This window comes from Homo sapiens, chromosome 7 (genome assembly GCF_000001405.40).
Source record: "Homo sapiens chromosome 7, GRCh38.p14 Primary Assembly".
NCBI classification, from domain to species: domain Eukaryota; kingdom Metazoa; phylum Chordata; class Mammalia; order Primates; family Hominidae; genus Homo; species Homo sapiens.
In genome coordinates, this window is record NC_000007.14 from 128,709,061 (window position 1) to 128,733,178 (window position 24,118).

The window sequence follows — 24,118 nt, forward strand, 5'->3', positions numbered from 1 at the left end:
CTTTTCCCCCTTCTCACCGGCCAGGATGCAGACATAATGATGGCAGGAGCTGGAGCAGCCACCTGAGGACCCAGAGCTCAAAGCCACATGTTGAGAAGGGCAGAGATAACTGTATCCACTCTGGACTGCTGACCTTTGAACTATTATGTAAGAGAAAATCAAAATTCTATTTTAAGTCACAATACTTTGGGGTCTTTGACTACCTGGACTACATCTTAAGTAGTACAGCTTCATGCCACTACCTGCACCCAGAAGCCTGTACCTCTCCTTTATTTGCACATACTTATGTTTTCTTATTTCATGTTTTATGTCCATGTTTTTACAAAGTAAAATGTTTAGTGGTCCAACTAATTTTTTTCAAAGAACCAGCTTATGGATTTATTTTAGTGTGCTTAGTGTTTTGAGATTATTTTTGTTATATTTGAATGAATTTTAAGCCATTTATAGAATCATGGGGTCACATACTTTTCTTCTCAACATTCTTTCTCCATTGTTTCATTGTCCTATGCCATCTAAACTTGCTGGAAAGAGGTCTGAGGCCAGTATCCTTTTATCCCCTGGGTAGACTGTCTGCTTCTTCTTTCTGGATGTTTGTAGTATAATGTTGTTGTTGTTGTTGTTTTAATATGGGGTTTTCCAGTGGAAACCAGAAAACATGCTAGACAAATTCTCTCTCTCTCTCTCTCTCTCTTTTTTTTTTTTTTTTTTTTAGACGGAGTCTCACCCTGTCACCCAGGCTGGAGTGCAATGGCGTGATCTCAGCTCACTGCAACCTCTGCCTCCTGGGTTCAAGCGATTCTCCTGCCTCAGCCTCCTGAGTAGCTGGGATTACAGGCGTGTGCCACCACGCCCGGCTAATTTTTAGTATCTTTAGTAAAGATGGGGTTTCACCATGTTGGCCAGGCTGGTCTCGAACTCCTAACCTCATGATCCACCCGCCTCCATCTCCTGGGTTCAAGCAATTCTCCTGCCTCAATCTCCTGAGTAGCTGGGACTACAGTTGCCTGCCACTACACCTGGCTAATTTTTGTATTGTTTGTAGAGACAGGGTTTTGTCATGTTGGCCAGGCTGGTCTCAAACTGGCCTCAAGTGATCTGCCCGCCTCAGCCTCCCAAAGTGCTGGGATTACAGGTGTGAGCCACCACACCCAGCCCTGCTAGACAAATTCTAAAAGAGCAGTAACACTTAGCTAGTGCATTCTTTATGCCTAAGATTTAGGAACTTCACAAGAGCCAGTGGCTTCTTTGCTCACTTTACCTGCAATATAGTACATTCTGTTCTTTTGCTAAATCAGGACTTTTTTTGGTTTGTTTCAGAAATGGCTGTTTCTTTTTATGTTTTTCATTACTTTTTTGAATTTCATTTGTTCCCTAGTCACTAAGGACTCAATCTGTATGTTGGATCAACATAACTATTTTCTATATCTCTCATTTCTCCCCAGTCAGTTCATCTCTCTCCCCAGCTTTATTGTATGATATTTATCCCAGCTTTATTGTGTCATATTCTCAAGCCTGTCATCCATGTTGCTGACTCAGTTTTCTGTCATGCCAGCTCTACTTCTTATGGCTTCTAACATGACTTCCAGATCTTTAGTGAGTTTTTCTTGTTTCTTTTTTTCTTTTCTTTTCCTTTTTTTTTTTGAGACAGAGTTTTGGTCTTGTTGCCCAAGCTGGAGTGCAATGACGCAATCTGGGCTCACCGCAACCTCCGCCTCCCTGAGTAGTTGGGATTACAGCCATGTGCCACCACGCCCAGCTAATTTTGTATTTTTAGTAGAGAAGAGACGGGGTTTCTCCATGTTGGTCAGGCTGGTCTCGAACTCCCAACCTCAGGTGATCCGCCCGCCTCAGCCTTCCAAAGTGCTGAGATTACAGGCGTGAGCCACTGCGCCTGGCCTGGTTTTTCTTGTTTCTTTGCTTACCTCTTTCGGTCTTAATTTCATCTTATTTTGGTATCTCTATATTTTTGTTTCAGAGGGTCCATATTATATTTAATTTCCTTGAGAGTGCAGAGAAGAGTCTTGTCAAATATTTTCTTCCACTTCCTGGGATCATTATTCTTTTGATATGCAGTCGTCATGTGTACTTTCCTCCTGGCATGCTTTGGGAGAGAAGAGTAGCATCTTACGGAGATCTCGTGATAGAGCTTTACTAAGAAATAGTGACTATTTTAATTAAAAAAAAAAGTTTACCTTGAATCCAGTAACCCTTTAGATAGAGCTTCTATTTCACAGGAAATGAGTAGCTAGAGAATCAAGCTAAACATCACCCCATAGAAGCAACCAGACAAACCTAGAAGGTAGGACGTGGTGTGGGACAACTCACTCAACTGCTCTCACTAATAAGTGTCCTAAAAAGGGGAATATACTAGATTAAAATAAGCTAAGGGAACATGCTTGGTCCTGTATTGGGTACTGACTTGGATAAGCCAGCTGTAGTAATAATTTTGGTTAATTGGAGAAAGTATAATATGGCCTGAAAATTAGGTAAGATGAAAATATAGGGAAACTCAAAGGCAGAGAGTATCAACTAAATGAACCAGGTTGTTAAAAAGTTATAAAACAATATTTAAAGTATGATCTCATTTTGGTTTTACAGACACACACACACACACACACACACACACACACACACACACTTACAGTGATGTTCTCCAGGAGGCAGGACTATGCTGAGTTTTATTAAACACTTGCTGTATTGCTGGCCGTGGTGGCTCATGCCTGTAATCCCAACACTTTGGGAGGCCAAGGTGCGTGGATTGCTTGAGGTTAGGAGTTCAAGACCAGCCTGACCAACATGGTGAAACCCCGTCTCTACTAAAAATACAAAAAGTAGCCAGGCATGTTGGCAGGTGCCTGCGATCCCAGCTACTCGGGAGGCTGAGGCAGGAGAATCACTTGAACCTGGGAGGCGGAGGTTGCAGTGAGCCAAGACCATACCATTGCACTCCAGCCTGGATGACAGAGCGAGACTCCGCCTCAAAAAACAAAAACAAAAACAAAAAAAACCTTGCTGTATTTTCCAATATTCTACAAAGCTTTGCACTGCTTATGCAATAATAAAGTGTTTTAAATAGTGACATAGATTTAAATGGGACAGACTTACCACAAAGATAATAAAACTTAAAGCTTCAGGGCCTCTAATTCATATGGGCCTTATGAGGCCCTAGGAGGACCTCTAGCAATTTTGTATCATACTTTTGTAGGGGTTTTAATTTTATTTGTTAAGTTCTAGCATATTTTCACTGTGGTAAAATACACACAACATAAAATGTACCATTTTAACCATTTTAGGTATGCAGTTCAGTGGCATGAAGTACATTCTCACTGTTTTGCAACCATCACCACCATCCATCTCCAGAACTTTTTCATCTTCCCTAACTGAAACTCTGCACCCATTAAACAATAACTCCCTATGACCCCCTCCATCCAGTCTTTTTATTTTTAAGAGTTTCCAAAATTGTATAAACTCTTGGCTTCACAAAACCTGGGTCCAGCCCCAACTGACAACCAGATGTCCTGGTAATTCCTGTGCAAGCTACGAAATGATACCTTGCACTGCCAAAGTGGCTTTAGCCTCAAACCAAAGGACAGTCAGCATGGTTGAGGCTGTCACCAAAGTTTTCATCACTAAAAGTGCAAACAGTAGTGATTGTGGCAGCATCAATATTACTGAATACACAAGGAGGAAAAAGCAATGTTTTCTCAAGTTATTGGAACCTACATCTATATAACTTTCCCCAGAAGCTACAAGTTTGTAATTTCTACAGTCCTAATTTCCTGTAAATTAACCCTATTTTCTTCACTGCTTAAAGTTATTGGTAAATAATTTTACATCTCCTTTTCCAGAAGGTAGTCACATGGTCTTACCTAGCTGCAAGGGAGGCCAGGAAATGTAATCTTTCTTACAGGAGACCTGTGCCCAACTAATGATCAAGTATTCTATTACTAAAAAATCAGAATGGGCCGGGCATGGTGGCTCAGGCCTGTAATCCAGCACTTTGGGAGGTCAAGGCGGTTGGATTACTTAGGGCCAGGAGTTCGAGACCAGCCTTTAGTAGAGATGGTGAAACCCCATCTCTACTAAAAATACAAAAATTAGCCAGGCATGGTGCTGCACGTTTGTAATCCCAGTTACTCGGGAGGCTGAGGCAGGAGAATTGCTTGAACTCGGGACATGGAGGTTGCAGTGAGCCAAGACTGTGCCACTGCACTCCAGCCTGGGCCACAGAGTGAGACCTTATTTCAAAAAGAAAAAAAAGAAAGAAACAGAATGGGTGTTGGGACAGACAACTAATAGACAACTAAGTATCTGTCACATGGTTTCTAAAAAGATTCAATATGCTTGTTTTTGAGGTTTGCAGGGGAAGTAGGAAGGGGTGCACATCATTTTTTTGTTTAATAGAGACAGGATCTCATTCTCTCGTGCAGGCTTGAGTGCAGTGGCAAGATCACAGCTCACTGTAGCCTTGAACTCCTGTCCTAGAGTGATCCTCCCAGGAGCCTAGGCTTCCCAAAGCACTAGAATTACAGATGTGAGCCACCTTAAAGCACCATTTACAAAACTGCTTAGCATCTTGTTTAGAGCTAAAAAATCCTTTGCTCACAATCAGCTTTCTAGACTGGGCACCCAAGCCTTCTTCCTCTGAGGGTTGAACACCATAGAAGTGGGCTTAACAGACTTGTATGGAAAAGAGAAGAAGTCATCTCCCCAACTGACTCTTGGATGTCTCAGTGGCCAAGTATACTCAAATTGTATATCTAAACCAATGAGCTTTATTGTTGTGGTTAAGCTTTAACTGTGAACAGCAACGTATCAATTTATTAATTACTACGCTTTTGTGCTGTGTGTTCCCTTTCTAGGTTATTTCCAGGGAAATGCAAACCAAAGGATGTGGTCTCTGATCTAATCCTTAGAGAATGTGACCATGAAGACACTTTTCCTACCTGGTAAACAAAAGATAATGAGAAAAGTGAGGTTGGAAGTTGGTTTACTGAGCCAGGAGCTATAACAGGTGCTGGAGCAGGGGTGTGATCTGAATGACCAGAGGGAAGGACTGATGGAATTGGATGGTGAGAGCCTCCAGGCCCTTTAGGCTTCTCCCTGACTTTATAATGAAATACAAAAGTCAGCCTCCATGCTTGTCCTTTGTGTGTAATGATTGTCAAACTCTGTCTATATGTGTTACATTTGACCTTGATGGTTAATTCATTATGTAATAAGTTCAGAATTTGGGACAGACACAGTGGCTCATGCCTGTAATCCCAGCACTTTGGGAGGTCGAGGTGGGCGGATCATCTGAGGTCAGGAGTTCGAGACCAGCCTGACCAACATGGAGAAACCCTGTCTCTACTAAAAATACAAAAAATTAGCCAGGCGTGATGGCACATGCCTGTAATCCCAGCTACTCGGGAGGCTGAGGCAGGAGAATCGCTTGAACTCGGGAGGCAGAGGTTGTGGTGAGCCGAGATCGCGCACATTGTACTCCAGCCTGAGCAACAAGAGCGAGACTCCATCTCAAAAAAAAAAAAAATTTAGAATTTGGTCCAAATTAGAAAACAGTTTCTCCCAGGAATGGCCTTGAATAGTGGTCAGCCTGCTTGGTTCTTTCTTCCTGACCTAGCAGCCCATGATTTGGGCTCTTTCCTCCTCTGGTTCAGGGGTGAGGGATGCTGTCACTCTCCAAGAGGGGGAACAGCTTGGGACCTAGCAGAGCTGCTCATCGGGGTTCTATTCCTCCCAGCCAGCGCCCTGACAAAGCCAGCCTCTGGATAAGAAACTAATTACTTCTCCTGCTTCTTCAGTTTGACCTCCTAAGGGAAGTAAGTCCTGCAGAAGTAACCAGCCTGCCGCGGCAGAATGCAGAGCAGGCACCAACTGCCCTGCAACTGCTTCCATAACCTGCAGATCCACCAGGGTGTCGGGGGCCCACATGCTGCAAAGCTTAGGAAGATGGGGTTTTCAATGGACATGCAGCTTTTAAAGTTGTGTGAGATAGGTTGCATTCAGAGTAAGGAAGGGTTGAAAGGCAGGAAGGGCATTTTCCTCTTAGCAGTGGAAGGATCTTCCTGACAGCCCTCCTTGCTTGCTTTCTGCCTGGCTCACTGCTTTCTCAGCAAGTTCCGGGAGGACTATGTCCTGGGGTTCCGAAAAGGGCTGGGGAATGTCCAGGCACGGATAAGGCACACAAGCTCTCTGGAGGAAAAGGGAGGCTCCTTTGCACTTCCCCTTCCTGCAGGTCTGTCCTGGTTTTTCATGATGTCATCCATTCATCATTGTGAGCTGACTGGTGGTCCCAGGGCTTGGCCAGCTGCCCAAGGCCAGGAGGGGAGACAGAGATCCCAGGACAAATGTGCAGCAGGCCCCTGAGCATGTGTAGAAATGTTGTCATCATTTCCACATAGAAAGACTTGGAGGAAATCAAAGAAGACAGTAAAAGTCACAAGATCCTATCCAACCTTCCCTTCCCTGAATGCCTGGGAAGAATTCAGGGGCCTCTTGCCTGTGGATGGAGAGCCGAACCCTGGAGCGGGCCTAGGTGTGGAGGAGGGACTGCTCTGCCGGGTGGTTCATTCTCCAGAATTCAACCTGTTTCTTGACTCCGTGGTGTTTGAAAGCAACTTCATCCAGGTATTCTTGGGTGGCGCAGAATAGCACTCTTTGATTCTTCGAAACCTGTTCCCAAGATATGACTGAGAGAGTCCATCCCTGAAACTGGGGCAGAGTGAGAATTGAGGCAAGGAGAAGCTAGTGGACCTGGAATGCAAGGCCACCCTCACTGACCTGGGCTTTGCTGAGCCCCAGACGGGGCTTCTCCTACAGACAGCTGTCACCCAGGGAGAAAGGTCAGGGGTCCTCTGCTCTGAGTGGAGAATTTGGTATCTAATCCCCCAGTTTACTTCAGCCCCCAGGCTGTCACCTGAAGTAGATGAACAAAGAGGCAGTAAAAAGAGACGCTTCTTGAGAACAATAATGCGGATTGGCGAAAGAACAGCACCTGGGGTCCCAGAGACAGCTGGGCTCAGATTCCAGTCCTCTGCCTTCTCCTTGGGAGGTGACTGTGCAAGTAACCTGTGCAGCCTGAATCTGGCCCCTTGATTGTAAAAGGGTTGAACTGACCTGAGGATGAAATGCAAATACAGCAAGAAAAGTACCTTGTCTAACAGGCACTCGGTGCACGTTCGTCTCCTTGCCTGGGCTCTCCTCTGGTTGGATGGAAGCGAGAATGAACAGCACTTTGGAGTTAGAGAGGACCTTCCTGTTCAGTGAAGGTGCAGGAGATAATAGGGCACCTCGGGGAAGGACCAAGAGGATACATTTTTCAAAGAAGGCCAGGAAACAGTCCAGGGAGGATTGGCAGAAATGACAGATGGCAGGGAACTCCTGGGTTGTAATTCCTGTGGGCAATTGTTAACAAATGGGTGGTTGAAATATTGTTTAAATACTAGTAGTTGTTTAATCAATATAGTGGCTATCAACAAGAATTGATTTTTGGCCCCAACTGCCAGGGAACATTTGACGATGTCTGGAGACATTTTTTATTGTCACGATTTGGCTGGTAGTGCTACTAGAACTAGTAGGTAGAGGTCAAGGATGCTACTAAGCATTCTTTAGTGTGCAGGGCAGTATCCTACCCTCAACAAAGAATATCCAACCCAAAACATTAATAGTGTCGAGGTTGAGAAACCCTGGGCTGAAACAGACTGCAGCTTTTGCCAAATGCTCAGGTTGTGCCTGGGGGCTGTGTTGCAGGTCAAAAGGGGCAGGAATTGGAGAGACGTCTACAAAGCTTCCAACACCATGGCCCTGGGGGTGACCTCCTCGGTACCCTGCCTGCCCCTCCCCAACATCCTACTCATGGCCAGTGTCAAATGGCACCAGGGGCAGAACCAGACATGGAACAGACCATCCATAGCCCCCAACATCTTCCTGAAGAGGTGAGCAATGCAGATGAGAATGGAGGACAAGAGGGGTGAGGGGTGGATGCAAAGTGGAGGTTGCTTGACTACTAAACTCAAGGAGAAGATAGAGATGTCATCAGCAGTGACATTGATTTTTTTAGACAACAGAGTATCCTAAGACAGGTGTTGCACTGGAAGGACAGAGGCCAAGTGGGACAAAGGGAGATGTCATGTGGACAGGAGTCAGGGGCTAGTCTACCTGCCCACTTTCTTTCTCGCTGCACAGACGCCACTGAATTCATAGGAAATCTCTCAGCATTGGGCCCAAGGGCAAGGAGGCAGTGAGTCTGGCAGATGGAGCACTGGTTGGGGAAAGGAGATTATTTCTAGTTCTTGGTGTACAACTAACTGGACTCAATTTTTAAAATCACAAGTTATTTGCTGCTCCTCAGTTTTCTTTGTCTTTTTCTTTTTCTTTCTTTCTTTTTTTTTTTTTTTGAGACTGAGTCTCAAAAAAGACTATCGCCCAGGCTGGAGTACAATGGTGGGATCTTGGCTCACTGCAACCTCTGCCTCACAGGTTTAAGTGATTCTCCTGCCTCAGCCTCCCGAGTAGCTGGGATTATAGGTGCCTGCCACCACACCTGGATAATTTTTGTATTTTTAATAGAGACAGGGTTTCACCATGTTGGCCAGGCTGGTCTTGAACTCCTGACCTCAGGTGACCCACCCTCCTCAGCCTCCCAAAGTGCTGGGATTACGGGCGTGAGCCACTGTGCCCGGCCAGGTTTTTTTTGTTTTTTTTTTTTAATCAGTAAAATAAATGGGACTAAGTCTCACTTAGAGCTGTAGCATATAGTGACATCATGCTTGTCTGGGACGAAGTAGCCTTTTTAAATTTTGGGGCCTCTTTAAATAATCTGTAGGATATCTCAAGAATCTCTAGAAATTCCCAAAAGTCCAAGAAAACCCTTCATTTCTCCATGCTACCTCAGTGACACACCTCTCCATGATGTTCTTGGTGTACCTCTAGCAAGTACCACCCAGTCCCAGCTGACTAATATTAGATCCAAAGCCAGATCCTTGAACTTTAACTCCCTTGGGAAGACTAACTGTGGCATTAAACTCAATAAATGCACAAGCCAGACAGTGGGGCAAGCTCCTTTGGTGCTTTCAAGAAAGAAATTTTGGCTGGGCGCGGTGGCTCGTGCCTGTAATCCCAGCACTTTGGGAGGCAGAGGCAGGTGGATCGCCTAAGGTCAGGAGTTCGAGACCAGCCTGACCAACATGATGAAACCTCGTCTCTACCAAAAATAAAAAATTAGACGGGCCTGGTGGCACATGCCTGTAATCCCAGCTACTGAGGAGGCTAGGGCAGGAGAATCGCTTGAACCTAGGAGGCGGAGGTTGCAGTGAGCCAAGATCGTGCCATTGCACTCCAGCCTGGGCAACAAGAGCAAAACTTTGCCTCAGAAAAAAAAAAAAAAAAGAAAGAAAGAAAAGAAAAACAGAAAGAAATTGTAAAATCCTATGACTAGCCACCTTACCTCCTAGGCTGTCTCTCTCAAATAGGGTCTAGGGCACACGAGAATCATGGCAGGGTAGGTGGAAGTTACAATGCAAATTCCAGGGCCACACCCAATTCCTACTGAATCTGAATCTTCAGTGGTGTCTTCAGGTGTCTGCATTTTAAACAAGCTCAGCAGGTGTATTTGGTCTCCCCAACAATTGAGCAGCACTGTGCTAAAGCACCCTCTTTTCTACCTCCAAAAGCCTTAGTCCTAAAGGAGACCTGCCTCATTTTAACGAAGACAGGGTCAGATTGGATGCAATAGGGTTGTCAGTGTGTGTCTTCCCTGGTGGCTTCAGGATTCTCCCATTGAGGTTTGTGGAGCTCCAGGTATGTGACCACTATCAACGCATCCTGCAGTTGAGGACAGTCACTGAGAAGATTTATTACCTAAAGCTCCATCCTGACCATCCTGAGACTGTCTTCCACTTCTGGATCCGACTGGTTCAAATTCTGCAAAAGGGGCTGTCCATCACCACCAAAGACCCTAGGATTCTTGTCACGCACTGCCTGGTACCCAAGAACTGCAGCAGCCCCTCAGGAGATTCGAAGGTAAGTGAGCACCATTGCCACCCTGCAGTCAAGGCCAAAGCAGCAAGGTAGAGCTTAACCCAGCTGGTATGTGAGTGCCCTATGAAGGTGATCTCAGTGTGAGGCCTTTTCTAAACAGCTTTATTGAGTATCATTTAGAACAATAAAATCCACCATTGTGGATTTTATTGTTTTATAATTGTTTTGTTTTATATATATTTTATATAAACAATTCTATATAAATTGTTTATTGTTTTATAAAATCCACCATTGTGGATTTTATGGTGGATTATGTTGAAACCACAGTTTCAACACTTTCAGTAGATTGTATAGAGTCGTGTAACCATCACCACAATCCAGTTTCAGAACATTTCCATTACCCTAAAAAATACCCCCTCGCCCATTTGCAGTCATTCCCTGTTCCTACTCCCAGCTCTAGGCAACCATTATCTGTTTTTAGTCTATACACATTCATCTTAGGCATTTCATATAAATGGAATCTTACAACATATAGTCTTTTGTGTCTGGCTTCTTTCACTTAGCGTAACATTTTTCAGTTTCATCCATATTGTAGCATGGGGCCAACTCCAGGGCAGAGTCACAGAGTATTTGTAGTTTTTTTTGTTTTGTTTTGCTTTTTTTTTTTTTTTTTTTTGAGATGGAGTCTTACTCTGGCCCCCAGGCTGGAGTGCAGTGGCACAATCTTGGCTCACTGCAACCTCTGCCTCCCAGGCTCAAGTGATTCTCCTGCCTCAGCCTCCCAAGTAGCTGGCATTACAGGCACGCACCACCATGCCCAGCCAATTTTTGTATTTTTAGTAGAGATGGGGTTTCACCATGTTAGCCAGGCTGGTCTGGAACTCCTGACCTCAGGTGATCCACCCACCTCGGCCCACCAAAGTGCTGGGGTTACAGGCGTGAGGCACTGTGCCCGGCATTGACCATTTTTCAATTGGGTTTTTTCTTCTTATTGCATTGTAAGGATTATTTGTATATTCTGGATACAAGTTCTTCATCTGATAGATGATTTCAAAATATTTTCTCTCAGTCTATGAATTGCCTTTCATTTTCTTAATGATGTTTTTGAGGAGCAAAAGTTTTTAATTTTGATTAAGTGCAATTATCAACTTTTTCCTTCTTCTTTTTTTTTTTTTTTGAAACAGTCTCCCTCTGTTGCCCAGGCTGGAGTGCAATGGCACAATCTTAGCTCATTGCAACCTCCACCTCCTGGGTTCAAGTGATTCTCCCACCTCAGCCTCCCAAGTAGCTGGGATTACAAGCATGCACCACCACACTCAACTAATTTTTGTATTTTTTGGTAGAGACAGGGTTTCACCATGTTGGCCAGGCTAGTCTCGAACTCCTGACCTCAAGTGATCCGCCTGCCTCAGCCTCCCAAAGTCCTGGGATTACAGGCATGAAACTTTTTCTTTTATGGATCAGGTTTTCTATGCATACCTAAGAACTCTTTGTTCATTCCAAAGTCACAAAGATTTTATCCTATGTTTTATTCTAGGAGTTTTATAGATTCAGCTCTTACATTTAGGTCTATGATCCATTTTGAGTTAATATTTATGTATGGAATGAGGTAATGATCTAAGTACTTTTTTTGTGTATATGGATATGTAATTAGCCTAGCACCATTTGTTGAAAAGACTATTCCTTCCCACATTGAATTGTCTTAGCACCTTCATCAAAAATCAATTTACTATCAATATAAAAATTTATTTCTGAATTATCAGTTCCATTCTGTTGACTTATTTGCCTATTCTTGTGTTAATAAAACAATGTCTTGGTTAATGTAGCTTTATATTAAGTTTGAAAATGGGTGATATAAGTCTTCTAATTTTGTTCTTTTTCAAACTGTGTTGGCTATTCTAAATCTGTTGCATTTTCATATAAATTTTAGAATCAGTTTGTTAATTTCCACAAAAAAAAAACCTGTTAGAATTTTGATAAGCACATGTTGAATTTATACATCACTTTGGGGAGAAGTGCCATCTGATAATATTGTGTCTTCCAACATCTGAATATGGAATGTCTTTTCATTTATTTCAATACTTTAGTTTCCCTTAGCAAAGTTTTGTAGCTTTTGTTTTGTTTTTAATAGCAATGGGGTCTTGCTCTGTTGCCCAGGTTGGTCTTGAGCTCCTGGGCTCAAGCAGTTCTCCTGCCTCAGCCTCCCAAAGTGCTGGGAGCCACATGCTTGGCCTATTTTGTAGTTTTTAGTAGACAAATTCTGCAAGTTCTGCACTTATTTGATTAAATGTTTTCCTAAGTATCTTATTGTTGTTGATGCTGTTGTGACCAGAACTGTGTTTGTGTTTTCTTAATTTCATTTTTGGGTCATTCATTGATAGTATTAGAAATACAATTGGTTTTTTAATATTAACCTCATTATACATTATAGCAGTTTTACAGATTCCTTGGGATCTTCTACATACACACACCACACACACACACACACACTCATGCCATCTGCAATAAGGACAGTTTCATATCTTCATTTCCAATCTAGATTTGTTTATTGCTCTATTGCATTAGCTGGAACCTCCAGTACATGTTTAATAGAAGAGGCAAAAGCAGACATCCTTGTCTTGTTCCTGATCTTAGGAAAAAAACATTCAGTTTTTTGCTGTTAAGTATGATGCTTATTATGAATATTTGTAGATGCCCTTAATCTGATTGAGGACATTCCCTTTCTTCCTATTTATTGAAAGAGTTTTCTTTCTTTTCTTTTTTCATCATGAATGGGTATTAGATTTGTTAAATGCTTTCTCTGCATCTATTAAGATGATTATGTGGTTTGTCCTTCATTCTGTTAATACAGTATATTACATGAATTGATTTTTTTTAACGTTAAACCAACTTTGTGTTCCTGCGATAAAATCTGCCTGGTCACGGTGTATATACTTATTTTTTATATGTTACTAGATTCAGTTTGCTTACATTACATTAAGGAATTTTGCATCTATGCTCATGAGAGATATTGGTCTGTAATTTTCTTGGGATATCTTTGTGATCCCCTAGCTTTGGTATTAAGTTAATATTATCCTCATTGAAGAAGTTGGAAAGTATTCCCTCCTCTATTTTCTGAAAGAATTCATGAAGCATTGCTATTACTTCTTCTTTAAATATTTGATAGAATTTACCAGTGAAGATACCTGGGCCTTTTTGCCCCAGAACATGATGAATGTAAGTCTGGCTTCAGCTACAACAGAAACTCCATGAAGGCAGGGGTTTCTGTTTGTCTTCTTTACTGCTATATCCCTAGTACCTGGCTCCTAGTTGGCATTCAATAAATACGGAATGAATGAGTGACTATGGACATGGACAGCATGCACAACTGGAGCACTTTTGAGTATCACAGGCAGCAGGAAAGAAATTAATTTTGCCCCGATGTAAAAAGCAGCACACTATAGGATATTTCTTAGAGAAATTAAGTTTTAAAACACCAATTAGGCCAGGCGCGGTGGCTCACGCTTATTATCCCAGCACTTTGGGAGGCCAAGGTGGGCAGATCACGAGGTCAGGAGATCGAGACCAGCCTGGCCAACATGGTGAAACCCCGTCTCTACTAAAAATACAAAAATTAGCTAGGTGTGGTGGCAGACACCTGTAGTCCTAGCTACTTGGGAGGCTGAGGCAGGAGAATCGTCTGAACCCAGGAGGCAGAGGTCTCAGTGAGCCGAGATCGCACCACTGCACTCCAGCCTGGCTATAAGAGCGAGACTCTGCCTCAAAAAAAAAACTCCACTAATTAAATTTCTATAACAAATATATGATTCCCCTACATTTAAGTATAAAACCAAACAGCATAAACTTTATTAAAGCTTATATTAATAGGCTATTCATACATTATATTAAGGTATATTAATAGGAATAAGTATCTGTTAAGTAATGTTAAAAGTATGTAATGAAGATATTACCCTTAAGGCACAAAAGGACATTTTTACCAATACGAGGAGTGTAAACCAAAAAATATGGCCTCAGAATTGCCTCTGTGAGCAGCTGGTGTGGCTGCACTTTGGAAAATTTTGAGTTCCAACACTTTAGAGTCTGGACCATGATATTAGGAAAATGTGAAGACCCCAAGGCCTTAACCACCTGGTTCTGCTTTTTTTCTTCATATAGTTAGTACAGAAGAAACTCCAAGCCTCCCAGCCCAGCGAGAGTCTCATTCAGCTAATGACCAAGGGGGAGAGTGAAGCCCTGTCTCAGATTTTTGCCGACTTACACCAGCAGAACCAGTTGAGGTACATGACTTAAATCAAGCCAGCCTCTGACATTCCCTCCTGCAACCCAGATGGTCTGGGCTGTGAGATCCAGAAACCAAATAGCTTGGTTAATGAGCGCAGGGTTTTACGTGACCAGGCACGGTGGCTCACGCCTGTATTCCCGGCACTTTGGGAGGTCAAGGCAGATGGATTGCTTGAGGTCAGGAATTTGAGACCAGCCTGGCCTCGATATACTGCCACTCACTATCCAGTCTTTTTTTTTTTTTTTTCCTTTTTGAGATAGGCTCTCACTCCGTCGCCCAGGGTTCAAGCGATTCTCCCGCCTCAGCCTCCTGAGTAGCTGGGACTACAGGCATGTGCCACCATGCCCCCAACTAATTTTTGTATTTTTAGTAGAGACAGGGTTTCACCATATTGGCCAGGCTGGTCTGGAACTCCTGACCTCAGGTGAGCTGCCCGCCTCGGCCTCCCAAAGTGCTGGGATTACAGGCATGAGCCACCGCGCCCAGTCACTGTTCAGTCTTTATCCTTGACTCAGGACAACCTTCCTCCAGCTCTTCTTGCCTTGTTCTTCTTCTCCACACAGCAAGCATGGTGGGCTTGACTCCAGAGGAGGACTACTATAAAAAATGAAAAGTAGTTCTCCAACAATGAGGATAAGTTAGGTATACAGGTGAAAAAGTAAAACCTAAATTTCTTTTTGTTGTTGTTGTTCATTTGTTTACGTGAGACAAGAGTCTCACTCTGTCGCCCAGGCTGGAGTGCAGTGGCACAGTCTCGGCTCACTGCAACCTCTGCCTCCTGGGTTGATGTGATTCTCCTGCCTCAGCCTCCCAAGTAGCTGGGATTACAGACACACATCACCACGCCCAGCTAATTATTGTATTTTTAGTAGAGACAGGGTTTCACCATGCTGGCCAGGCTGGTCTCGAATTCCTGACCTAAAGTGATCCACCTGTCTCAGCCTCCCAAAGTGCCAGGACTACAGGCGTGAGCCACTGTGCCCAGTCATGTAAAACCTAATTTCTAATCCAGTTTCTAGTCCTACAGGGAAATAACCAAAACCATTGTTTAAAACATTGTCAACTTATTGGATTTACTTACCTACTCACCCAAGGTCTCTGCTTGGACTTTATGGAGCTTCTGTGATCGTTTTCTTAATATAGAGTCTGTTCTGGAAAGCTCCATGCTACAGATCTATCTTCTTCATGGCTGAGGAAATGTCGCTGTATGTACAGATGACTTAGCATTAAGTCTTGGTATAAAACTGGTTGGTTTAAAAGAGACAGGAGTTGAGCGTACTTAGACCAGAGGGTACCACAGAATATTCAGTCCCAGATAAAGTGGGATCCAGGGTCCTAGTGCCTATTACTTATGGTTTAATAGAAAGGAGAGAACAGAAATAAATTAGCAAATGTCACCAGGAGAGAAAAATGAGGTGTCAGAGAGGAGAATTTTGTCACAACAGGAACCAGTTGGACCAGCAGTTCAGAGGCAGAACAAATTCCCTTTCTTTCTGAGCACTGGTAATAAACTGAAAACCAGTACAGCTTGGAGGAGGCAAGCGCTTATAGCAACGAAGAGCTCGCAAAGACATGGGCCCAAGTCATTGCTCTGACTGCACCCTTGAGCATATCGAAACCTGGGGGCTCAGTCTTCAGATCTGTAAAATGGAAATGAAAATAGTGCCAACGCCATCCAGATGTCAGGATCCAATGAGCTCATATGCACCAAGCACTTAGAATGCTACTCAGCAGATTTAGAGGCAAATTGTAAGTAAGCTCTCAATAAGTATTAACTTGTATTGTTAATTCTAACTTGGCTGGAGGTAGAAAACTATTAACACAAGAAAAAGACTTATCTGTTGCCCAGTATAAAGAATATATCCTGGAGATTGTCACTCCATATATCATACAGAGCTCTGTAATTAAGGAACTTCTCGATGAGATGTCATATTGCTGAGCTAGAGGGCACTGGACTCTAATAGAGCAAGGTATTTTGAAACTGCTTTTTGGCTATCTCAAATTATCAAATCACTTTCCTTCCTTCCTTCCTTCCTTCCTTCCTTCCTTCCTTCCTTTTTCTTTCTTTTTTGAGACAGTCTCACTCTGTTGCCCAGGCTGGAGTGCAGTGGCATCTCAGCTCACTGCAACCTCTGCCTCTCGGGTTCAAGCGATTCTAATGCCTTAGCCTCCAGTGTAGCTGGGGTTATAGGCACTCACTACCATGCCTGGCTAATTTTTGTATTTTTATTAGAGATGGGGTTTCACCATGTTGGCCAGGCTGGTCTCAAACTCCTGGCCTTATGTGATCCATTCACCTCAGCCTCCCAAAGTGCTGGTATTATAGGAGGGAGCCACTGTGTCTGCTCAAATCACTGATTTTTAAATTACTATTTAAAGAACCGTTTCTGTTTATACCTCATTGGCCACACTCAGTCACGTGACCTCACTCAGCTGCAAGGGAGGCTGGGAAATGCATTCCCCATTTTGCATAGACATGTACACAACACAAAATTAGACACTGTGCTCCCCAGGGAGAAGGCAAAAAGGGTCACTGGGGGCCTACTGGCACTCTCTGGCACAGACAGCTTTTAATATTTCTAGAAGTTGAGAGGAGGCTAAGGTCTGAAGGAGAAAATAGGTAATAGACAGCTAAAGAAAGGGTGAAGAAGGGCCAGGCAGGTTAAGGGAATGGGCAGGTGCAAGGCTGAGGCTTCCACAAAGGAAGAAGCTTGGTGGAAGGCCAGTGGGGAAAAGCGGGTAGTGGTGGAAGAGAATAAATAGAAGAGGGCAAGGAGTGAGCCAGGCGGGGCCTGGGAAGCCATGCGAAGATATTTAGACTTCCAGTATCATGGGAGCCTTAGCAGCATTTTAAACAGGGAAGTGACGTGATCCAATTTACATTTTGAAAAGGTCATGCTAGCTGTTGCCTGACAGTTAATTTGAAGGGAAGGAGAGATGTGGAAAAACGAGCTAGGGAGCTATGGCAACCTACTCTGGGCAGATCGGAAGGATGTAAGAAATGAGGGGAGGAAGGGATTAGTTTTTGCTTCATTGCTATCTTGATAATTGCTTTGTACAGACATTTAGCTCTTTCTTGTTAGTTTCCCAGAATGAAGCCCCTGAGTGATGATTTTTCTCTCATTTGGGCTGGTTCTAGTCTGGTTGCAATTATTATCAGTTTTTGCACATTGGCAACAACATGCAACTTAACAGCAAATAAAATAAATAGCTGAGATGCAGAACTGAACAGATGGAGTCACCCCCTCCTCCTCAGCAAAATCAGCAGCATGGGCTCTGCTCCCCACCTCCCACCCCATTCCACCTCCCCCTTCCCGATTTTTTTTTTCTGGAACTTTAATATGCGTCACACCCATCCAATATAGCCACAGCTGGCCTTTTTCATATTTATATCTGTCTCTAAAGCTTTGCATCAGGAACTTTGGAACAAGATCTGAAATACAAATTTAATGTTCTTTTCCTTTACTTTCAACTTTCATTTCCTTGATCCTGAAATGGCTCGAGTTTCAGGAGCAGCAGAAAGGTGGAGACCAACAAGAACAGCTCAGGTAAGGGAGGGCACAGGGTACCATGCCTCAAAGAGCTTTCTACTCTGGATATAAGAATAAGATCCCCTCCAGCCCCCATCCTGGTTGTCCTGGTGCTGTCAGTATTGCCATTGTCCTTCCATGCCTTAGTTTGAATTCCTTTAGGCTCTCTGGCCACCACAATCAAGTTGGCACCAAGTCCTAACCAATTTCTTTCTTTGCAATGTATCTTGTATTCTTTACTTCATTTCTACACCCACAGACCCTACCCCAGCCCAGCCCTTCTCATCTCAAGCCTGTAGCACTCTTCCATAAGTTCATTTATCCATTTATTCATTCAAAACCACGCACTGAGTGCCAGTTACTGTGATGGGCTCTAGGGCCACCATGTAGAAAGACACCATGTTCCCGCAAGAAGTTTATAATTTGGTGGTGTCAGATGGGAAAATCCCCGAATTACAAAATGTCTCCTTCCAGGCAACATTCAAAGCTTGTGCCTAGGGTGCCAAAGGAGCACAAAGAAGGGGGTCCCTCATTCCTGCCAGGAAGCTTGCCTGGGAGGCATGGTTTCTGAACTGAGTCATAGACAATGAGTGCAGGTGAGCTGGCTGAAACAGGTAACGCAGGGCATTCTAGGAAGAAGAGACAGAGTCTGCAAGAGGGAGCATGACACATTCTGGAAAAAGCAGCCAGTTCCCTATTTCCAGGTTCTAGTTCACCCCAAATCCACTCAATTCGGCATGCATGGCCCTGCACAATCTTCCCCCATCTCACCCATCTCACCTGCTCACTCACTCTTCCTCTAATAGCAGCCCTCTGCCTAATCATCTTCTCTAGCCCAAATCTTTTGCTCCAGCAAACCTTAGCCATCCCATGCCTCCTTCATCCCCCATCCACTCCCTTCCCCCGATGCTTCACTCTAAATCCTCCCTATCCTTCTAAATCCTACCCTTCACACAACACCTTCCTGCCAGGCTAATCCTTCCTCGGTCATAACCTCTCTTTCATTATTCCCTAGTTGTTTTATAGGTTTGAGGGATATTTCTTCAGTGAATACTAAATTGTTTTCAGGCTTCTCAATTATCCACAGCATGAAGCAGAGGCCTGAGAACACAATGGGAGGCAATTAATACCCATATACCATGGCACTAATAAATTATTCCTTCACGTTGGCTCAGTAGGCAGCCAAAATATCATAAGATATTTATAAATTTAGAGAAGGCTGTAGGTCCCAGGGGAACTCTGCTAACTTTCGTCTAAATCAGGGATTACAAATGCATAGGACTGCAGGTGGTATAAATGGGTAAAGGGGGCAGGGCGCGGTGGCTCACGCCTGTAATCCCAGCACTTTGGGAGGCCGAGGTGGATGGATCACGAGGTTAGGAGTTCGAGACCAGCCTAGCCAACATGGTGAAACCCCATCTCTACTAAAAATACAAAAATTGGCTGGGCATGATGGTGCGTACCTGTAGTCCCAGCTACTCGGGAGGCTGAGACAGGAGAATCGCTTGAATCTGGGAAAGTGGAGGTTGCAGTGAGCCGAGATCACGCCACTGCACTCCAGCCTGGTGACAGAGCGAGACTCAGACTTAAAAAAAAAAAATGGATAAAGGGCTGGGTGACATGGATGTAAGAAAAGGTTAACTTTTCTCTAAATTCTGTTATAAGTAAAACAACTGCTGGCAGCTGACACTTGGTGTCAAAACTGAGAAGACAGCAGGGAGTGGTGGGGATAGTGGCAATGAGAAAGTGAAAGCTTCAATTAAGACTTCCATTCGTTGTTGCCATGCTGGAATCCAGGCCAAATATTCTGATTTTTCAAGAGAAGCCAAAAGATCTGGACATATGTGGCATACCACCTTCCCATAAAATATTCAAGCATAGTATTGGCTAACACTTAGTGGGCAAACAAAACATATCTGCAGACCACATTCAGCCTGGAGGCTGCCAGCTCACAGCCCCTGTTCTAAATGGTGAGCACAGCTGTGGCTGCCTCACATTTTGTCCAAGCCTAAGAATGTTTTCTCATGTTATGCGACTAATGACATGATGGTGACTCATTTCTCTGCATTTAAACATACATTCAAACACACATATGTATAAACATACACACTCAAAACATACCCCATGACATTAGGGTTGAAGAAAACAGATGTGAGGAATATTTCAAACATTTCTGGGACTTGAGAAAACAGCTAGAATTTTAGGGTCGCAGGGTATCTGGCATCATGGGACCTACCACGGCCAAGATGTTCCTAGGCTGAAATTGAATTGAAATTAACCATCCCAGGTGGCCTCCAGGCCCTCTTTTCTCATTCGGCGAGGGAGTGTAGTCTCTCAGTTTAAAAAGACTGTTATACCCCAGCCTCTGGAACTTTTGGATGAAAAAGAGACTTAAAATTGGAAAAACCAGAGGCCCAACAGCACCTGTGTGGCTGAATCTTTCCACTCACCACCAGCAGGTGGTATGGCCTATTATTGCAGTGCTTCCCAAACTTTAATGTCCAAACAGTCCCCCATAGATCTTGTTAAAAGGCAGATTCTAATTTCTTGGGTCTAGCGGGATTGAGACTGCGATTCTAACATGCTCCCAGGTAATGCCCAAGGTGCTGGGCTGTGGGCCATCCTTTGAAGAGCCAGGGCCAAGTGGACCAAGAACAGGCTCTAGCTTAAGGTCTTCTGGGTTCAAGGCCATTGCTAGTTCAGCTAGATGAGTCTCCTGGGGAAATCCACTCAGTTAACCCATCTGAATCATATTGGGTCTCTCCTTTTACTGGTGCTGTCTTGTTCACGTGACATAGTGGTAAGAACGTGGACTCTGGAGCCAGGCTGCCAGGCTTGGAATTCTGACTCTGCTTCTCCTTGTGTGACAGTTGGTAAGTTACTCACCCTCTCTGACCTCACAGAGGTGAGGATTAAAGGACCATGAATGCACGTAATTGTTTGGAATGGTGCCTGGCACATCGTAAGCACCCCCCCAAATGTCAGCTGTAACCTGTAAGGGCTCTGTGAACCAGCACACAAGCAAATGCATTTCTTTACTTGATCTAGGGAAAGATTCTTCCCGTGAAGACAGCATCCCTTGCACCTGTGACCTACGTTGGAGGGCTTCATTCACGTACGGAGAGTGGGAAAGAGAGAACCCCTCCGGCCTGCAGCCCCTCTCACTACTCAGCACTCTGGCAGCCTCCACCGGGCCACAGCTGGCCCCACCCATAGGTACAGCAATGGGAGGAATCCCCTGCCATTGTGGGGCAGCCCTGGCATTCAGCCTCAGGGCTGGGTCAGATCCTGGGGTCCTGAGGGTGATTCCAGAAAGTTGTGGGGTGTGGTCGAGGAATGCTGGCCACAGAGACCTCAGCCCTCTTTTCCCAACTGGGCTGAGCAAAACCATGATGTGTGGCACCTCCAGGGCCCCCAGAGTTCCCCCAGATGCTGTTGACGCTATAGCTGCTTTCTCTTGCTGTATGGGAGGTGTAAGGGATCTCCTCTGCAGACTCCCCATGTGGTCTTTCCTCTCTTTTCCTTTCCTGGAGCTCTTGAAGGGCCTTCTTACTGCTTGGGTTGGGATGCAGAGAGTGAAAAGGAAGTAGGTTAAGGGGGCTGGGGTGGGGTCAGACCTCCCTAAGGTCCCAGTCCTTCTGTCTTCATGCTCAAGGCCCATTCGTCCATCCACACATTCATTTAACAAACATTTGTGAAGTACTTCCTATGTGCCTCTGTTTGACCAGAGATAGATTTCCCTAAAAGGGAGGGGTGATTTCTGTTTTCTAAAGTAAAATGTCATGAATAAACCACCAACTCTTTTTTTTTTGAGACGGAGTCTCACTCTATCACCCAGGCTGGAGTGCAGTGGCATGATCTTGGCTCACTGCAACCTCCGCCTCCCAGGTTCAAGTGATCCTCCTGCCTCAGCCTCCTGAGTAGCTGGAATTACAGACATGCACCACCACGCCCAGCTAATTTTTGTATTTTTAGTAGACACAGGGTTTCACCATGTTGGCCAGTCTTGTCTCGAACTCTCGACCTCAGAACTCTCAACCTCAGGTGATCTGCCCACCTTGGCCTCCCACAAAGTGCTAGGATTACAGGTGTGAGCCACTGGGCCCGGCCACCACCAACCCTTATAAGATACCTATTATAGATAGTTGACAATTTTTTTAAATTAGCATAAGTATCTGTGTGCCCACAAAAGAGCTTTTTAGGTAATTTATATCCTATCAAACACTTTTCTCTCCTACACTCACAGGAAATTCTATTTGAGCCACCCTTCCGCACTGGGGAGAATCTATGCAAGCCTCGTCAACACCACTTTGCAGCATTCAGCTGCTGAGGGATTATCGGGATGGAGAGTAGGAGAAAACTGCAACCAAGGAAGAATAGAGTCATCTCACGGTGACAGCAGAGCCTTTCCAGCTGTACATAACCACGTCCTCGCCACTGCACCTCGGCATATGCCACCTCCATGCCACTGCCAGAGCTGGCCTAGCAAGATGTGCTCTCAGAATGGCCGGGCCCAAGAGATGAAGGAAAGGAGTGAAAGGGAAGTAGGACCAGAGAAGTGGAAGGAAGCAAAATGGAGGTGATGAGAAAGGTGGTGGGAGAAAGTCAGCAGATGAGAGACACAAAGAGAAGTGGTAATAGGAAACGGAAGAGACTTGGTAGACGAGATAAGGAGGACAAGAGAAGGGACACACCCCTGAGAGATGCTCACCAAGCTTCTATTTATCTAATTTAAAACTTGAAAGTAAAGCCATAAACAAAAAAAAGAAATGTTTTCTTCCCTGCTCAGACCATTCTGGACAAATGTGAACTGCCAGACACCTTCCATTTCCCTTTCTATCTGTTTTTCTTGCTAGTTCCTGTCTTCTGATTAAAGCTTCATTCCTTCTTTGTTGGCCTGTTCCCTAACTTGGACTTGCTAGCCCTGTTGTTCCTAATAGAGGTTTGGGTTTGAGCTGCAGAAAGGTTCTTATAGGAGGTAGTAAGACAAGGTGTGTAAGGTAGGGCGAATTTCTCTTTTGTGTTCAAATTCCCTAAGTTTGCTATTATCTCCGTGCCGCAAACACTGGCTCAACTTCTTTTTTGTATAACACTCCCTTGAAATGTCGACATACCTTGTTAGTGCTTTTTAAATTAGAGATTCCAGAGATAGGAGATATAGGCTCAACATACAGGTTAATCAGAGGTTTACCAATTATAGATGAAGGGAGTCATGAAGGAGTGTTTGTCAGATGGTCTATGGACTGGCCTCTTTGTTTAAAATGTGCAATAGTGTCAGGAGCAGTAGCTCGTGCCTGTAATCCCAACGCTTTGGGAGGCTGAGGCAGGTGAACCACTTGAGCCCAGAAGTTTGAGACCAGCCTGCGAAACATGGCGAAAACCCATCTCTGCCAAAAATACAAAAAAATTAGCCAGGAGTGGTGGTGTGTGCCTGTAGTCCCAGCTACCAGGCAGGCTGAGATGGGAGGATTGCTTGAGCCCAGGAGGTCGAGGCTGCAGTGAGCAATGAGTGTGCCACTGCACTTCAGCCTGGGTGACAGAGTGAGATCCTGTCTCAAAAAAAGAAAAATTTCACATTTAATGAGAAACAGACTATGAGTATTTCAGGAAAGCTGTCCATCCCCCAGCTGGGGAGGGTATTTTGATTTGACTTAAGATATCCTAGCAGCATCTTTTTCCTCACTTAACTAGTTTTCAGCCTGAAATTGTTAGAAGGCTAAAAAATAAGCTCCTGGATCACCATTACTCAAAGGCTGAGTTATGTCCTAATTCTTAGTGATTTCAGCATCCACATGGATGATCCTTCCCATACTTTGATCTCTGTTCCCTGAACTCCTGCCTTCCAGCAATGCTTTTTCCACCCTCCTCGACCACTGTCTCCCTTGATTTTACCCTAGTGTTTGTCATTAATAACTGCACCTAACCCCATTATTTCCACTCCCTAGCTATAACACCTCCTATTTTTTCCTGAGTCCAATAATCCATTGACCCACCAATCCTACAATCTATTGCTTCTACCAGGTTTTCACTGTTCCTCGCTCTCTTCATGTTCTCATTTCCTTCCCCTGTAACCTAGATTATCTGTGATCAGTCATTATTATTATCACTTCCTGGCATGCATTCTCAACATCTTTGTGACTCTCTCACTTTCTTCCCTTGGCTAAATTCAGTTCTCTACCAGCTCCATGCCTGTGTGATGCTGCTGAACTTGCCACTGAACCTCTCTGGAGAAGATCACATGACATACTAACCAGTCTCCCTGCAAAGTCATCATCATGGCCTCAAGGGGGTCCTTGATGTTGCCTGGAAATCATCATGTGTTCTC

The 24,118-nt window shown here is 44.3% G+C and overlaps 2 protein-coding genes and 1 pseudogene across 15 annotated transcripts in view; 2 read left to right on the top strand and 1 right to left on the bottom strand.

Moving 5' to 3' along the window:
• Positions 1–106, top strand: part of GARIN1A (golgi associated RAB2 interactor 1A) — a 37,538-nt gene extending 37,432 nt beyond the window's left edge. The window contains exon 6 of the transcript XR_007060024.1: positions 25–106. The gene's annotated coding sequence lies outside the window, so the exon portion shown is untranslated. The remainder of the gene's footprint in view (positions 1–24) is intronic.
• On the top strand, positions 1–22,683 carry GARIN1B (golgi associated RAB2 interactor 1B). 14 transcript variants are annotated; one of them, NR_104243.2, is made up of 9 exons: positions 1–147; positions 4,863–5,014; positions 7,753–7,937; positions 9,832–10,023; positions 14,137–14,258; positions 15,709–16,012; positions 17,774–17,811; positions 20,842–21,009; positions 22,040–22,681. NR_104243.2 is itself a non-coding variant. In NM_001282789.2 (8 exons), exons 2-8 carry the CDS (start codon positions 5,060–5,062, stop codon positions 22,051–22,053), a joined length of 732 nt encoding a protein of 243 aa, NP_001269718.1. In that variant the 5' UTR covers positions 1–147; positions 4,863–5,059; the 3' UTR covers positions 22,054–22,681. The 14 variants fall into 14 exon arrangements, 9 of the variants coding, with proteins under 9 accessions (NP_001269718.1, XP_047276946.1, XP_047276947.1 ...); NM_001282789.2 differs by lacking the exon at positions 15,709–16,012 and having other exon boundaries at positions 4,863–5,072; NR_104242.2 differs by lacking the exons at positions 1–147; positions 4,863–5,014 and adding an exon at positions 6,331–6,630 and having other exon boundaries at positions 9,771–10,023.
• On the bottom strand, positions 1,121–1,188 carry LOC124901825 (uncharacterized; annotated as a pseudogene).
• Positions 22,684–24,118: the final 1,435 nt, after the last annotated feature.